At 37.3% G+C, this 17,460-nt stretch overlaps 1 long non-coding RNA gene across 1 annotated transcript in view; it reads right to left on the reverse strand.

The window, feature by feature from the left end:
• The window catches only part of UFL1-AS1 (UFL1 antisense RNA 1), a 321,372-nt gene that overhangs the window by 197,642 nt on the left and 106,270 nt on the right, over positions 1-17,460 (reverse strand). The gene's annotated exons all lie outside the window — the stretch shown is intronic.

A 17,460-nucleotide genomic window follows, 5' to 3' on the forward strand; every position in this document is an offset into this window, starting at 1 on the left:
ATGGCGTGAACCCCGGAGGCGGAGCTTGCTTGCAGTGAGCAGAGATCACGCCACCACACTCCAGCCCGGGTAACAGAGCGAGACTCCATCTCAAAAAAAAAAAAAAAAAAAAAAAAAGAACACATAAATAGGCAAACAGAAAAAATGCTCAACCTCACTAATCATCAGAGAAATGCAAATTAAAATCACAGTGATGTGCCATTTCACACCAGTCAGAATGACTATTATAAAAAAAAGTCAAAAACATAACAGATGCAAATGAGAATGTGGAGAAAAAGGAATGCTCATACACAATTGGTAGAAATGTAAACTAGTTTAGCCTCTACGGAAAGCAGAATGGAGATTTCTCAGAGAACTAAAAATAGAACTGCTATTCAAACCCAGCAATCCCACTACTCAGTATATATCCATGGGAAAGGAAATCCTTCTACCAAAAACACACCTGAACTAGTATGTCACAACGCTATTTGCAATAACATAGACATGGAATCAACCTAGGTTCCCATCACTAGTGGACTAGATAAAGGAAATGTGGTACATCAACACCATGGAATACTATGCAGTCATTAAAAAGAATGAAATGATGTCCTTTGCAGCAACATGGATGCAGCTGGAAGCTGTTATTCTAAGTGAATTAACACAGAAACAGAAAATCAATTGTCACATGTTTTTACTTATAAATGGTAGCTAAATGATGGGTACAAACGGACATGAAAATGGAAACAATAGACAATGGAGACTCCAAAATGGGAAAGGAAAGGGTCAAGGGTTGAAAAACTAACTATTGGGTACTATCTTCATTATTTTGGTGATACGTTCAGTAGAAGCCTAAACCCCAGCCTTACACAATATATCCATCTAACAAACCAGCACATGTCCCCCCAACAAATCTATTTTTTTTTTAAAAAAAAAAAGCATACTTACGTTTACCTTTTATTGCTGAATTTCTGTTCTTGGCTTCTTAGAGGTTAATAGATTTTTAACAAATGTTCCAGTAACATAATACAGTTTCACTTTGAAAGGTGTTTTTTTCTCAAATGCTTCCATTGACTGAAAAAAAACAGTTAATGATGAATCTTATAAGAAACAAGCTTACATTTACCTATATCATTGTATCTCTCTATTGGCCTATTAGTGCCCAATGAAGGAAAAAAACATTCTTTAAAAAGAAAAAGAATCCATAACTCTATGTTGACATAAAGAAATAGATGAATATATAAATAAATGGGAGAAGGGGAGTGCACTCCTTAAGGTGGAATGCAAATGATAAGAAAAATGAACAAAAAATGATGGAGTTAGAAATCAATGTGTGGATATCACATTTAGTAGATAAAAGTTTAATGAAGAGGATATTTATGTAGCCTCAAAGTATCTCTCCACAAGTACCTAATAATTAGGAAGGGAAAATAATGGTTCTACCACCATGGAGAAACCTCATGGACACCACTTCATTAGTTTTGAGTGATCAAAACTAATAATATTAGTGCAGTCTGAATCATGTGCACTCCAGTATGGGCCACTGAGAAGGATAAAATATCACTTCAGTGGAATTGCTGACAAAAATCCATAACCTGAAACTAACAATGATGAAACAGCAGATCAATTGAGGGACATTCTATGAAATAACTGATCTATACTCTCAGAAATTTAAAGCCAAAAGACTAAGTATGACTGAGGATCTGTTCTGAGTTAAAGGATACCAAAGAGACTTGAAAAATAAATGCAATCTATGCTCTTGGTTTTGATTTTGAATGGGGACAAAACAAGGAAATGTCCTAATTTTGATAATTATACTGTCAATACATAAGATAATTAACAGGTTATTAGGAAACACACAGTAAATTATTTAGGAGTAAAAATTCATGATGTCTCCAATTTACTTTCAAATGATTAAGAAAAAATAATTTGCAAGTACATAGAGAAAAAGTGTGAAAAATGTAAACAATTGGTGAGTCTGAATATAGGTTACATGGGTATTCCTAGTTCCTTGGGCTATTCTTGAACCTTTTCTGTAACTTTGAAAGTATATCAAAATAGGCCAGGCATGGTGGCTCATGCCTGTAATTCCAGCACTTTGGGAGCCCAAGGCGGGCAGATCACGAGGTTAGGAGATTGAGACCAGCCTGACCAACATGGTGAAAGCCTGTCTCTACTAAAAATACAACAACAAAAAAAGAAAATTAGCCGGGCATGGTGGCGCATGCCTGTAATCCCAGCTACTCAGGAGGCTGAGGCAGGAGAATCGCTTGAATCCGGGAGGTGGAGGTTGCAGTGATTCGAGATCGCACCACTGCACTCCAGCCTGGGGGACAGCGCCAGGCTCCATCTCAAAAAAAAAAAAAAAAAGTTACAAATACATAAATAAAAGTCAGATCCCCATCCCACCAACACCCAAAAAAAAAGCCATACACAGGGGATTAGTGAGTAAAAAAAGAATAGTACTGGATTATAATATTTTTGGCTCCATGATCTTTCGGGGACTGTTTCTAAACATAGCATGGAAAAAAGCTCCTCTTTACCTGACTAGGAAAAGTCCCGAAGGTAATACATGCCTTCATCTCACAGCATGTGATAACCTGGTTCTATCTTGTTTGATTGCAAGAATAAGGGTAGGGAAGCAAGAATAGGACTGATTATTCTTTTGCCTTAGGGGAAAAATATTTTATTGTTGGTGAAATATCTTGATTCATTTTTTATGAATGATAAAGAAAATTTTTCTAAGGTGGCTGTATATTTGTAAGCCTAGAGCTATTCTGAAGACTCAAAATGCATGCAACATTTTGAGCACTGTCTTTTATTAAGTGCATGGGGTTTAAGCATTCTGTTTAAGGAGATCAAGATTCTTTTTGTTTGAGAAGAAAAGGGACTGAGTTTGCTGGGTGTGGGATCCCAGGACACTTGCATCCTTTCCCTCGCCAGGGTATTTTGTCTTCTATTTATATATTGTGGTTCATAGCCTTTATGTGATGTTACATAATTTTCTTTAGCCACTAATAAATCCTAATTAAAATTCAACCCTTAAAGGCAGTATTTAAAATAAAGTCACATTGGGAATGAAATGTATCTTTCAGATATGCTCTCAGTAACTGAAAAAATTCTAACAGTAAATTATCCGTTCTTCTTCAGATTTGTTATACTTGCAAGAAGTAATACTTTCTGTCATTCACAGGATAGAAAATGTCTAATATATAAACTTATTGTAGCAAGACACATACATTGTCATGCCATTAGCTCAGGCTAGTGCCTGGTGGGATGAAAGACACTCTCATTCAAAGTCTATTTTTTTATTGTTGATTGAAGATTTTTAAAGCAAAGCAGTTAATTCTCATTACATTAAAAATTTGTTTTTATTAGACAACTTATAATTATCTTTTATCTCTCTGATCTCAGATTCCTCATTTAAAATGGAAATTGTGAATGTTAAATGAACTAATATGCATAAAGTCCTTAGCACAGTGTCTGGCACATAAGTGCTCAATAGATGATATTCATAAATATAGATTATTTTATATTATAAATGTTCAAGTTAAAAATACCATATTGAACACGTTTATCCACTCAGAGATTAAGAAATAATATATCTCAGAAAACGAGACAATAGTGCAGCAAAAACATGTTGACAGATACAACTCCAGGCTAGTGGCATGCAGAGAAGGATGCTAACAAAAAATGAGCAGGCTTCCACTACCAGCCCCTATAGAACCCTAGCCAAGCCCATGGCTTAGCAGCATTTGATGCACAGAAGGGCAGAAAACTAGAGAAGAAAACAGGTGTGAGTGTGTATTGGAACGGGGTGAGTAGAGGAAGAAGATGCATGACAGATTGAAATTCAACATCATTGGTATATGAAGCATGATATGGTTTGGCTCACTGTCCCCATCAAAATCTCATCAAATTGTAATTCCTGGTGTTGGAGGAAGGGTCTGGTGGAAGGTGATTGAATCATAGGAGCAGACATCTCCCTTGCTGTTCTTGTGATAGAATTCTCATGAGATATGGTTGTTTGAAAGTGTGTAGCACCTCCCCCTTCTCTCTCTCTCTCCTGCTGGCCATGTGAAGATGTGCTTACTTCCCCTTTGTCCTTCTGGCATGATTGTAAGTTTCCTGAGGGCTCCCCAGAAGCAGAGCCTGTACAGTGCACAGAACCATGAGCTGATTAAAGCTCCTTTCTTTATAAATTACCCAACCTCAGGTATGTCTTTACAGAAGTGTGAGAATGGACTAAAACAAGGCACACAGTAGAGTAAGAATGAAGCACACAATTGAAAATGAGAGTAATTATTGAGCTACTCTGCAAAACAGACTGATCCCAATACCTCTACCCCACCCTGCACAAATTACTAAAAGCCAGTGGTAGAAGACTGTAGAATCTATTTTTTCTGAAAAAATTAAACAATGCCTCCCTATACTGACATTTGGAGCCTGTGTGATCAGCCATTATTCAGACCAATTTTACAAGAGTAAGGAGTACTATTTGCAAGTACTGGCAATCACAGAACTTCCAGTCAAAATGTGAGCGCTTCAGTGTTAAATGAGAAAGGGAGAAGTCAGTAAGCAAACCAAGAAAATAAATCCAGAGGAAAGATAATGCAGGAAATGCAAGAGCATTTCAAAATTAAAACCAAAATGCAAATGAACACATCAGGGAGATGGAAGTTTTTGCATCAATAAAAATGGATGATATTTATAAGGAAGAATTCTTAGTAGTTAAAATAACATAGTTGAAACAAAGATCTCTACAGAAGCTTGGAAGTAAACAAAATGTCAAGAAGATAAAAAATGTGAGATAAAAGCTAAGGACTGAGAGCATAAAACCAAGTGCTCAAATAACTAATTAATCTGAATTCTATAAAGAGAATAGAAGGGAAGTCATGGAGATAAAGATATCTTTTAAAAAGAGACTTTTTCAGAACTAGAGTACACATTTCCAAATTGAAAGAACTCAAAACGTACCAGCACATTTAATTTTTTAAATATCCAAAACAAAGCATATTGTCATGACATTTCAGAGCACTATGTTAAAGAGACAAACCCAAACAATTAAGGAAGAAGGAGAGAGGTGTCACATCCAAAGAAGGAAAATCAGAACAATACTGGGCTTTTCATCAACAGCACTGGCTGATTCAGGAGAAAATGATTTTTAACCCAGAATTTTCTCATTTACAAATGAGAATGCAATAAAGATACTTTTAGATATGCAAAGAGTCACAAAATTTTTCTCCCTTTCTTAGCTGCTAGGAAGGTGTACAGAATAGAAAAAACATTCCATACAGGCCTTAGTGCCAGAATCTTGCAAATCAACTGTTTTCTTACAACTTAAATAATAGGAAGCTGATTTGAGTAATAATAAAAGTCCAATCTCCTGCACAGCTAGCCCTGCATGAATTACTCTTTCTCTACTGAAATTCCCCTGTCTTGATAAATAGGCTCTGTCTAGGCAGCGGTCAAGGTGAACCCACTGGGCAGTTACAGATTCGGAGGCTTGTCCAGGATTGCCCTTGTGGCTACCTACCTGTGATGTGGTAGCCTCTCTCTGGTGATGTATCCAGAGGCCAGCTCAAGTGGCTGCCTAGTTCTCTTGGACTGGGAGATAATTCTGGTACTCTCTCTACTGGTGGGGCACTGCTGACCCAATGTGGATGGATTTAATTGCAATAGAAAAGTATTCCTGGGGAGACATCCCTTAACTGTAGGCCTATCACATTATATCTGTCTGTAGTCCCATTGCAGGGTGTCTGGGTTGGTGAGCATTCTAGGTGCTATCAATGTCTCCTTTCTTCTCCTGACTTGTTCTGTAGACCCATGGTGGGGTGTCTGTTTGTAGCTCCACCATGGTGTTTCTGTCTCAGTTTGGCTCCTTTGTTGGGTCCAACTTGGATCTCCCTAAGTAATAGGAAGACTCTTGCTTTGGGAGACTTCTCTTCAATCAGGAAGATTTTAGGGAGATTTATTAGATGAACAATAGGAGTATAGTTTGGAAGGGATTCTCTTGGAATTCTTAGTTAGGGATCTTGATTCAGAAGGCCTTCTGTACATCTCATCTTTGTGTGTGTTTGTATATGCGGGGGGGATATAAGAAGGAATTGCTGACAAAAGTCCAGCACCCCTAACTCAGAGACCCTCCTTACTTGTATGGTTACATTCAGTGAGCCCTGAAGAAAGCTCAACATGCCAAGGAAGTTCTTGGGATGACTATCTGATCTTCGCCTTGGCCAGAGACCATCCATTGTGAATTACTGTTTGGAGGCCATCCCTACCCACATGGAGTGGATCAAAGACAACAGGGATTAATGGGAGAAAGTCCAAGCTTTGTGAAGTTGAATACTGGGTGCTGAACAAAGTGACTAGTGTCTGTTTTGTTATGTGTATTTTGCTTGGATGGAAAATGTTAATTTGGTTCCCCATGCAGCCCTTTGGGCAGCATCTTGCAAAATTAAGAATCTCTTGCCTATGGTTCCATGAAACAGAAAAGGATAATTTTCTTTTGTAATGTGGCTTGACCCCCATAGCTCTGGCACAGCAAGCAGGGTCATCTGTTCTTCTGGGAGCTGCAGAGAAAGGGAACCTGGAAATCTGGAATGCCAGCAAAAAGGGTAAGAAATTCTTACCACCCAAGTTTCTGGTCTCTCTCTCTCTCTCTCTCTCTCTCTCTCTCTCTCTCTCTTTCTCTGTCTCTCTCTCTGTGTGTGTGTGTGTGTGTGTGTGTGTGTGCGTGTGTAAATGGTAAATGTCACTGTTCGTCTCCTCCGCAAGGATATGATTAATAGAAAACAAAATTTGTGAGACTAGTTTTAGGCTGTAGCAAATCTAGTGCACTTTGTGCTAAAAATTTGTCTTTCTGTAATGGAGAGAGGGTTATCCCAGGATAGAATGAGGGTTTAGGACCTCTATAAGCCTGCTTTTCAAGCCAGCCCAGCAAACTGGTCAGTTACAAACTTTGCTGCAGGTCCCTGAAACCAATACCAAATGAAATTTTTCTGTCTTGTTTTGTGTCCTTAAGAGCTTAACCTTGTAACCATGTAGGGATACTATCTCTTGATTTCTCCCATCCAGAGGACAGGAATTTTAGGACACATGTCACAATTAACCCTAAAAATTATCTTGAGCACTTAAGAGTCTTTGCAAGCTTGAAATTGGCTGCTCTTCTGGGAATAGCAATAGAAACTGCTCAATGCTGTCTAGCTCAGTAGCTAAGGCTTTGTCTTTTGACAATGGTAGGCTGGGTTAAAGTCCTAGCTTCCAGAATAATTCCTTTCTGGTTTGTTATGTTGCTGCAGGTCCCTGAAACCAATACCAAATGAAATTTTTCTGTCTTGTTTTGTGTCCTTAAGAGCTTAACCTTGTAACCATGTAGGGATACTATCTCTTGATTTCTCCCATCCAGAGGACAGGAATTTTAGGACACATGTCACAATTAACCCTAAAAATTATCTTGAGCACTTAAGAGTCTTTGCAAGCTTGAAATTGGCTGCTCTTCTGGGAATAGCAATAGAAACTGCTCAATGCTGTCTAGCTCAGTAGCTAAACAGCTCAGTAGCCTCTGGTTGTTTATGTAACTTTGCCATTTATTGAGTGTTCCCCTCGCCCACCCCCGCCATTAATAGCTTCTGATTTCCTGTCTTGGGTTTTCCTCCCTCTGAACTACCTTTGGGGATATTCTAATTTTTGTAAAGAAAAAAAAACTGCTTACCATCTATTTGAGACAGTTTATGCATCCAGCGTTAAGTCATAGCCTTTGTTAAAACCTACTCATTTCGCATGGGAGGTTATCTGTGGTAAAGTTAAAAAGCCAGAAATATTGACTCTCTGTCCTAACTAGAGTCTGGTAATAAGAGATTTAAAAGGATTTTTTTTTTTAAAAAGCTTGTATTAGTTTATTCTCACACTGCTAAAAAGATATACCTGATACTGGATAATTTATGGGTTAAAAAAGGTTTAATTGACTCACAGTTCCACATGGCTGGGGAGGCCTCACAATCATGGCAGATGGCAAAAGAGGAGCAAGGTCACGTCTTACATGGCAGCAGGCAAGAGAGCATGTGTAGGGAACTCTTCTTTTATAAAACCATCAGATCTCATAAGACTTATTCACTATCATGAGAACAGCATGGGAAAGACCCACCTCCATGATTCAATTACCTCCCACCACAGCCCTCCCATGACACATGGGAATTATGGGAGCTACAATTCAAGATGAGATTTGGGTGGGTACATAGCAAAACCATATCAGAACTCTATGGTTAAAATCAGCTTAATTAAAAACAGATATCCAAGCTACATGTATTTAAGAGGGCTTTATCTTTTTTTATCTTCTTGAATCGTGTTTTCCTGAAAAAAATTTTCTTCTCAGTGGACTGAATTGTTTTTCTCCATTTTGTCATCTTGCCACTCTTGATGTAAACATGAGAGAACCTATGATAAATTCTAACAGCTTGGGGACTTCTGGCCAAAAGCAGAGGAGTCTACACAGACCCCATTCTGGGGAAAAACAACAACAACTACAAAACCTGTTTTCTTCATGGAACCCCAGGAATTAGAAACAAAAATAGGTCCCTCTCAAAATCTAAGGCTCTGTTCTGTTTTGCACTGCATTATCTGATTTTTTTTTTTTACTTTGGGGAGTATCAAAAATTACTTTGCATTATGGGAGAGCTTTAGCCTTGGTGTGTAATAGCTAGGTAAAAAAAACATATACTCTAAAAAATGGCTAGTGTCAGTTATAAAGAGATACTTGGATCTTTGCATGCTTGGATCAGAGAAGCATGCTCTTGACCACCTGGAAGATACAGAAACATCCCCAAACCCCACTGAGAGATGAGACTCCCATGGGGGATGGGCTGATTACAAAATGGGCTGATTGTCTTTGGGTTGCCTCGCAATTAAATGTATGATAGAAGCATTGCACTATCTTCTCCCATAGTATTTCCCTTCTTTGGGGGGATCCAGGATTCAGTATAAAATGGCACACTTAATTTTGGGGATCTGTCTTTGCCTTCCAGGTGTACCTGCTTATTAGGCCCTAGAAACTGCATATATTCCTGGCCCTGCTCCTCCAAGGGCTCCACCCTGAAACTAGTAATCCAATTAAGAAACTGGCAAATAAAAAATCTTACAAGTGCTGAATCTTCTGTCTGTCTGTCTATGTATTTATATATGTTGTATGTGTGATGTTTATATTTTAAAAGCTCTGATTAATTGGCTTAGAAAAATAAACATTTAAATCAAATATTTTGTCTGACTAATAGAAACTTTAATGCCTTTTTTCACATGACTTTAATAATCTTTTGGAAATAAAGACAGTTTTAAAGATCATTGGTAAAATAAAAATGTCTTCAAAATGTAGACATTCGGTCTAAATTTAAGGTTAGATATCAGATGTTCTAAATGCTTCAAGGTCATAAATTGCTTCTTTGACTTTTGAAAATTGTTCAATGTATCTACCTTGGAGCATGCATTAGATTATAGATAAGGCCTGGGGACATATGGAGAGCCATGCCCCCTAGCCATGCTACAAAAAATCAGACACTTCTGTCTGATGTCCTAGGCTCCACACCTAATACATAATTAAAATCACTTACTTATCAGGTTTTTCATCAAAAATAAAGGATGCTAAGAGTAAACATTCTAACATGTAATTGAGACTACTGGAGAAACCATTTTATGTATAAGGTTGCAAGGTACAGAAGGAAAGCAGAATGTAATCTTGGTGGGAGATTATAAGAAGGTATGGGAATATGGTTTTTGTTAAAGATAATGTAATTTTGTCTAGTTCAGAGAGTTTTTATAGATTCTCTTAACCTAAAAGAATAATGGGACAAAACTGAAGGTTGAAGCAAGTTGAAAAGGATTTGTAACGGGTTGATCTTGTAAAAAAAAAAAAAGTTCTGTGGGTATAAACAACTTGGCTAAGATTTGAAGGATATTATTTAGCTTTTCTCCATTTGTTAAAACATTAAAATCATGCTGATGTGGGGCCAGAATCTGGGCCCGTGTGTCTGGATCCATCAATTTTCTAAGGAACAGGGTTTGTTTCTGCTGTTTAATGGAAAATTGTAAAGGATTCTAAAGAGTTTATGAAAATCTTATATTATGGTCAAACTAAAACTGGATATATTTATAAAATTTTATTAAAAACTAGCATTATTACTAAAGATGCACTATTGCAAACATGGAATTTGGTTTTTCCTTTTGAAAAAGATTTTTATGTAACATTGAAAGACAATGAAATATTTTTGTTTGCCTTTTAAGTAAGCTACAAAAAATGGGAAAAGGAGAGAGAGAAGAGACAGATTCAGTTGGCCTCATACTATTGTCATCAGGTCTTGTTGTTTGGAAAGTTAAGTCCTCTATCAGAGTAAAGGTTTTTCTTTTTAAAAAATTTTTGGGTTATCATTTTGGCCAAATGAATGACTTATGGTGACCTGAGATTCTATTTTGTAATATCCAGTGTCTTAAACTTTTGCTATTTGACAAACTTTCCAAAATCAAATTATAAATTATGTCTATTTCTAAGCTAATCTGTTCAATATTAGGTCCTCTAAAGTCCAAAAATGACATTTGGCTTATTTGGTACAGAAATCATACAGGAAGCATTGCCAAATATGAAAGGTGTTTGGCTTTCTTTGGACTATATTTGTGTAAATGTATTATTGGTATATGTTCCAAAATTATGTGAAACTCCTATAATTCTGATATGATTTAGTATATGTTATCAGCAATCATTATAATTGTTATGCTAAATTATTGTGTGCCACAGAAGTAACAAATTTTCTTATTGTGTCTTTAACTGTGGCTGCCCTAAGGCTTTTTGTCATTCATAGGCAATTGTTTTATTGTGACCCTCTTCAAATGGTGGTCTTATAATCAGCTATTAAACTTTTACAGGTGTTTTTGAATGGAAGTTTCTGATAACTTTGGAGATTATGACATTAGAATAAAGGAAAAAAACTTACAGGACTCCTATGAAGAGCTGAAATGTTCATGAATATCAAGCAGAACAGGATTTAGCTGAATGGACTGAACTAATAGAAAACTGAAGTAATATTTTTTGAATATTTTGCTTAAAACATTGCTGATCCTTTTTGTTTTCCAGAGTCAAGAAAACTTTTCTTTTGAGCTATTTACAACTTTTAACAATTGAGTAAAATATACGTCTGTGAACAAAATTTGGAGCATATTTGTTTCTCTACCTGATTTCTCCAGAACTTGGAAACTATTTACACTGCACTTGATGGATCAGCTGCCACCATCTAGATTGATAAACTGGCTCATCTGATATTGTGGTCACCCACCCAGGAACTGACTCAGTGCCAGAGGAGAGCTTCCACTTCCTATGATTTCATCTCCAGCCCAACCAGTCAGCACTCTTGATTCACTGGTATTCCCTCATCCACCAAATTATCTTTAAAAACTCTGATCCCCAACTGCCTAGGAAGACTCATTTGAGTAATAACAAAACTCTGGTCACACACACACGCACACACACACACAATAATAATAATAATAATAATAATAATAATAATAGCTCATCTATGATAGTAAAAAAGAAAAATAATCTATCTTTCAGTGACAGATAAAGACAGTTTTAAGCCTGTTAAAATTACAAGGTCATCAAAGTAGAAAATAAAAAGTGATAGAGTTGTATTGAAAAGAATAGAAAAGAAGGGTGGTATGAGATAAATTTTTATCCATTAGGAAAATTTTATAGATATGTTTGAGATTGATATTCAAAAATAATTTTAAAACATATCTTCATATACCTATAATAAACATGTCTATATATGTTTGTAATAGTAAACATATCTTCATATGCCTACAATTAGGGTTTGGATCTATAATGACATGAAGAAATTGTCTGTTCCTGTTCCCTACCTTCCCATAGGAGAGAAGAATCTCTCTTCAAAGAGCAGATCAAGAGAGATGCTTTAAAACCACAGCAAGTTTTCAGAGGATGTCCATTTTAGCGCCAAAATTTAAATACGGGGAGGACGCTATGGTGCCAAAGGCCCCAGAAAGGTGCACTTGAAGTGGGACACTTGGAACCCCAACTGTCAATGCTGGTGAGTCAGCCTCTGAAAGAGCAGGATTCAATTAACCTATTGACTGTAGAGATATGTGAGCAAAGCAGAACTAGAATAAATATTGAGAAAATGCTAAAACTTAGAGCATACGGCACTAAGTATGGTTCAGCTCCACCCGATGGGTAGGTAGGTCCAGCAGGGTATCAACAGGGATATCTTGGTCATTTCCTCCTCTTCAGGTGGCACAGAAAACTAGCTGGGAGAAAGAATAACAGACTCTAATCCTGATTATAGGTGTCATTTCCACCAACACTCTAACCAAATGTGTTTTGGAAAATCTGAGAGGCACAAGAAGTGGGGTGTGCTGAGAGCCTACCAGTCAGATGTAGCTTCTTATTCAGTGGACTGAAGCACAAACTGCTAAAGCAAGCCTTCCTGGCTAAACTCAAATTCAGAAGACCTAAGGGGAATTTTTATATCTGAGATCTAAGGTTATCACTCACTATATTCCTGAAACAGTTCTCTCAAAGTCCCCGATGGAATTGTGAGAATTATCTGGACCCCAAGTTGGATGAGAACTGCAGAAAGCTCTTTGCTATTATTAGTCAAGCCATAGATGTCTAGAAACACATGCTTTTTTTTCTGAGTGACATACTCTGCAAACACCAAGCTTGGTGAGTGAGAGGCATCTCAGCAGGCACAGCTGTAGTGATTTCAGATAGCACATTGCAGTGTACTTTCTTCAGATTATATTACACATACAGACACAGACACATGCAATTCACATCATTCTGTAACATCTGCATGAATCAGAGGAAAAAGGCAATGCTATAATTGAATATGAAATATAAAACAATAGGACATAGATACAGGGTGCACAATTTGTGATTCACAAGTCTGAGTTCTATTTGTCCTGCAACAATGTGTTAGGCCATTCTTGCATTGTTATAAAGAGATATATGAGACTGGGTATTTTATAATAAAAAGGGTTTAATTGGCTCATGGTTTTGCAGGCTGTAGAAGCATGAGCCAATTAAACCTTTTTTCTGGCATCTGCTTCTGGGGAGGCCTCAAGGAGCTTTCATTCATTGCGGAAGGTGATGCGGGAGGAGGCACATCAAATGGTGAAAACAAGAGCAAGAGAGTGTTGGGGGCAGAGGAAGTGCCATACACTTTTAAACAACCAGATTTCACAATAACTCACTCACTATTGCAAAGACAGCACCAAACCATGAGAGATTCACCCCCATGACCCTAACACCTCCCACCAGGCCCCACCCAATGTGAAATTTGGGTAAGGACAAATATCCTAACTATATCAAACAGTATAAATATTGCAAGTTTCGTAACCAAAGATCTTATCAAGAGAGCTACCAGGAGTATAATGGATTATACTCCTTTAAATGTGATTCCTCTGGACTGTGGTCACCAGTGAGGAGGAGCAGGGAATCTTGCAGTATGTTGCACTCTGCTAGCAAGGCCCTACTCTGGTTGTGCTGTGGTACAACCCTTTTGCCCTAATTTTAAACGGTGTCCATGTTGTCCTTGTCCTGACCTTTGAGTGAGATTAGTCTCTATGCTCCCCTTAGAGCATAGAAAATACTTTTCCCCATAGAAAAGTCTTAAACACTGACCTTTGAGTGAGATTGGTCTCTATGCTCCCCTCTCTCCCTCTTTCTCTTCTTCACTCTCTTTCCCTTCTTCCCTCCCTGATCTGTGTCTTTGGTTATTGATCTCTAACTGTATGCTGATATGAGCGTTCCCTTTCACCCTCCAACCCTGTTCCCGCTTTCCCTCCTCATCGTGGGGGTTTATAGATGTTTCAATCTTTCTGTATTATTTATCATTGCTGTGTAAAAATTATCCCAAACTTGGCGGCTTAAAACAACAATATCAATTATCTCAACGTTTCTGTGGGTCACGAGTCTAGGCATGGCTTAGCTCCCAGGCTCAGCTGGGAAGGGTCCTTTTTGATGCTCATCGTGTGATTGCTGGCAGGATTCATTTCTTTGTAGCTGCTGGACTCAAAGCTCAGTTCCTCATGAGCTGTTGGCCGAGGTCTGCCTCAGTTTTTAATATGTGGACCCCTCTAAAAAGCATTTTGGAACAGAACATGGCAGCTTGCTTCAGGAAAGTGAGCAAGCTATAAAGAAAAAGAGTGCCAGCAAGTGAGAGCGTGCTAGCAAGATGGAATCACTGGCTTTTGTAATCACATCACAGAAATTATATCCAATTAATTTTAGTGTATTGTATTCACCAGACACAAGGCATTAAATCCAGTTAACACTTAAGAAGAGGGGATTACACAAGGGTTTGAATACCAAGCAGTGGAGCCCACTGGGCGCCATTTCAGAGCTGTCACCCTAGCATGCTTAGGGTGACGGAGAGGAAGAGCATTTGTAGAAGCTGGAGGAAAGCAGAAATTTGGAGCCACATCAGAAGCTGCCTACCACCCTGTCTCTACGGTTTGCCCATTCCAGATCCACAACTATCCTTTTCTGTCTCTGATCCAACATCCTACAGTCTTATGTTGTCTTTATCACAAAGTTCTATACTTACTACACTCTTGGTTTTAACCATTTGCCTGATTACCTAATTTTCTGTCCTGCCCAATAGCACTAACTAACATTTATATACTGGTGTATGTACAGATTAAAAAGCATTTTTCTTTAAAGAACTGAGTTTCAGGAAGGGACATGACCAAAAGACAGAAAACTGGTCATCAGAAAAGTGGAAACTTTGAGACAGTGCAATGTGCAGTTTTAAGCATTCAATGGTCAACCATTAAGAGCTTTATGTTTTCCACTTAAAACTACATTCACTAAATCAGTCACTGTAGACCTAGGGTATTATTTGCAAACTGGAGCATATTATCATTTGGTTCTTTTAGTAAGTTTAGTAAATTTAATGTAGCTGATGCCTGATTACTGTAATACACACAGAATTTTGAGAGTTGCATATTTTAAATAGAAAACATATCACATTAATTTTGAATATGACCATAGAAACTAAGTTAATATTAGGACTTTTGGCTTATCAAGCACAGATTCTGAAAGTGGTTTTCATGGTTGTGTTTGATGGCTTTCATTGACTGCATAACAATTAGGAACATTTTCCTGAAAACTGATTTTTCTAGTAACCAGAGACTGAAGTGAATTCAGGTCCAGCCATCTTCTGTACTTTGATCTGGCATTTCTTCCACAGACACAGTTACAGCAACATACAAAATCAATTGGCAGAGAATGCTTATTTATGTCAAATATGGATTTTCCAAGAAATAGTTTATGAAAATACCTTTCATGTGGATAATGACTAGAGGTAAAAAGTGGACAGTCTGATTCCCAGTAATTACAGCCTGGTGTTGCTTTATTCACACGTAATCTATTGCTAGGAAACCTAACATGCCTAAAGCAGGTCAGGATACAAATGGTGTCTCGAAAAGGGAGCAAAATGGGAAAAAAGAAGAGACAGTTATTTTATTCTATCTTGTGTCTTCTCCTCACTATCACACCAACTGTATTGCACTTGGATATCTTTTCACTTAAATAAAGGTATTAAAGTGACAGCTGATGAACAGTGAGTTTGTATTCCAGGAGCACTCTTATAGGTTTAAATTACATACAGATGAAAAATAGCCCATATGGCTTTTGAACAAAAAGAACGGCTGCAAGCCCTAAAAAATTCTAGTGGAAAAGTTGGCATGCTAAAAGGTTAATTAAAATTCGACTCTGTGAGATGGATACTTTTATTTATAGAACCTTTGGCTGATTTTCAGCAGCCATGTTTTTTTCTAATTAAAATAATATGAGCAGCTAATAGCAATCAGCTTAAAGAACTGAATATTTTAGAGAAAGAGATGATTCATAGGTTTTTTAATAATCATTTTACAGTAGGTGTCTCCACTAAAGAGCACAAAAAACATTTGTATTCAGCCATTGTCTAGTTCAAATGTCAGGAAATATTAAGCTGGAAAAAATGAGGAGCAAATTATTTAAACCTGTCTAAAATAAGTCATTGATATTATCATGTAAATTCGATATTTCCCTAAAGGTTCTGGAATCATTCTTTGACATGACAACTCATAAACTCTGAGAAACTGGACCATTAGAAGCATTATTTTAAAAATGAGAATTTTTTTATATTTCATGAACGTAACATACACAAATAACGACACTTAAGAGAAACAAAAGTTTGCATGAAAACATTATGTACACATTCATAGAGAGAGACAGATGGAGATGGAGACATAGGCAACAAGAATTATCATTATATCTTCTGTAGGATTAAGCATCCTTTTCCTCCCCTAAATCACTAAGAATAACTAAAGAACAAGATTAACATCTGTAAAGGAGAATCAGAAAGCATGAATAAAGAGTTATATTAAACAGAAGGAAGGAAGGAGGAGGAAAAAGAGGAGGAAGAGCAGGAGAAAGAAAAATGTGTCAGAAATATACACTTCCCAGATGAGTGTATACTCCCACTTTGCAAGAAACAACCAATACACTCCTCATGCCCCAGATTTTTTTTTCCTATTATTTTTCAATAATAAAACTCTTGAATTTTAACCGGGCATATCACATCTCAGAATCAATACAACCTTCTATGAAGCTAAAAATGTGCAATAGCTTGCTTCTGGACAATGGAATTAAAGTGGAGGTGTTGTGTGCATCTAGAAAGTGTCCATCCCCTTCTCTTTCTCCTTCTCTGCTGACAGGAATGTAGACATATGTGCTCCAGCCAGAGCTGCCTTTCGAGATCATGGGTGATTTTGAGAAAACAGTGTTTGTAAAACTGAGCACTAAAATGAAAAGAGCCTGTGTCTCTAACATTGTGGAGAGTCAAACCAGTCCTGTATTGCTTTTCCTAGACTTATATGGTCAGAAAGACATCTAGGAAGTCCTAGCCAGAGCAATCAGGCAAGAGAAATAAATAAAAGGTGTCAAAATAGGAAAAGAAGAAGTGAAATTATCTCTCTTCACTGACAGTGTGATTCTATAGCCAGAAAATCCTAAAGTCCAGCCAAAAGGCTCCTAGATCTGATAAATGACTTTGGAAAAATCTCAGGATACAAGATCAATGTACAAAAATCAGTAGCATTTCTATACACTAATAACATTCAAGCTGAGAGTCAAATTGAAAATGCAATCCCATTCACAATAGCCACAGAAAAAAATAAAATACCCAAGAATACATCTAACCAAGGAGGCGAAAGATCTCTACAAGGAGAACTACAAAACACTACTGAAAGAAGTCAGAGGTGACACAAACAAATGGAAAAAAATGCCATGCTCATGAATTGGAAGAATTAATATCATTAAAATGGCCATACTGCCCAAAGCAATCTACAAATTCAGTGTTATTCCTATCAAACTACCAAGGGCATTTTTCACAGAATTAGAAAAAAAACCTATTCTAAAGTTCACATGGAACCAAAAGAAAG

Source organism: Homo sapiens, chromosome 6 (assembly GCF_000001405.40).
Source record: "Homo sapiens chromosome 6, GRCh38.p14 Primary Assembly".
Lineage (NCBI taxonomy): Eukaryota > Metazoa > Chordata > Mammalia > Primates > Hominidae > Homo > Homo sapiens.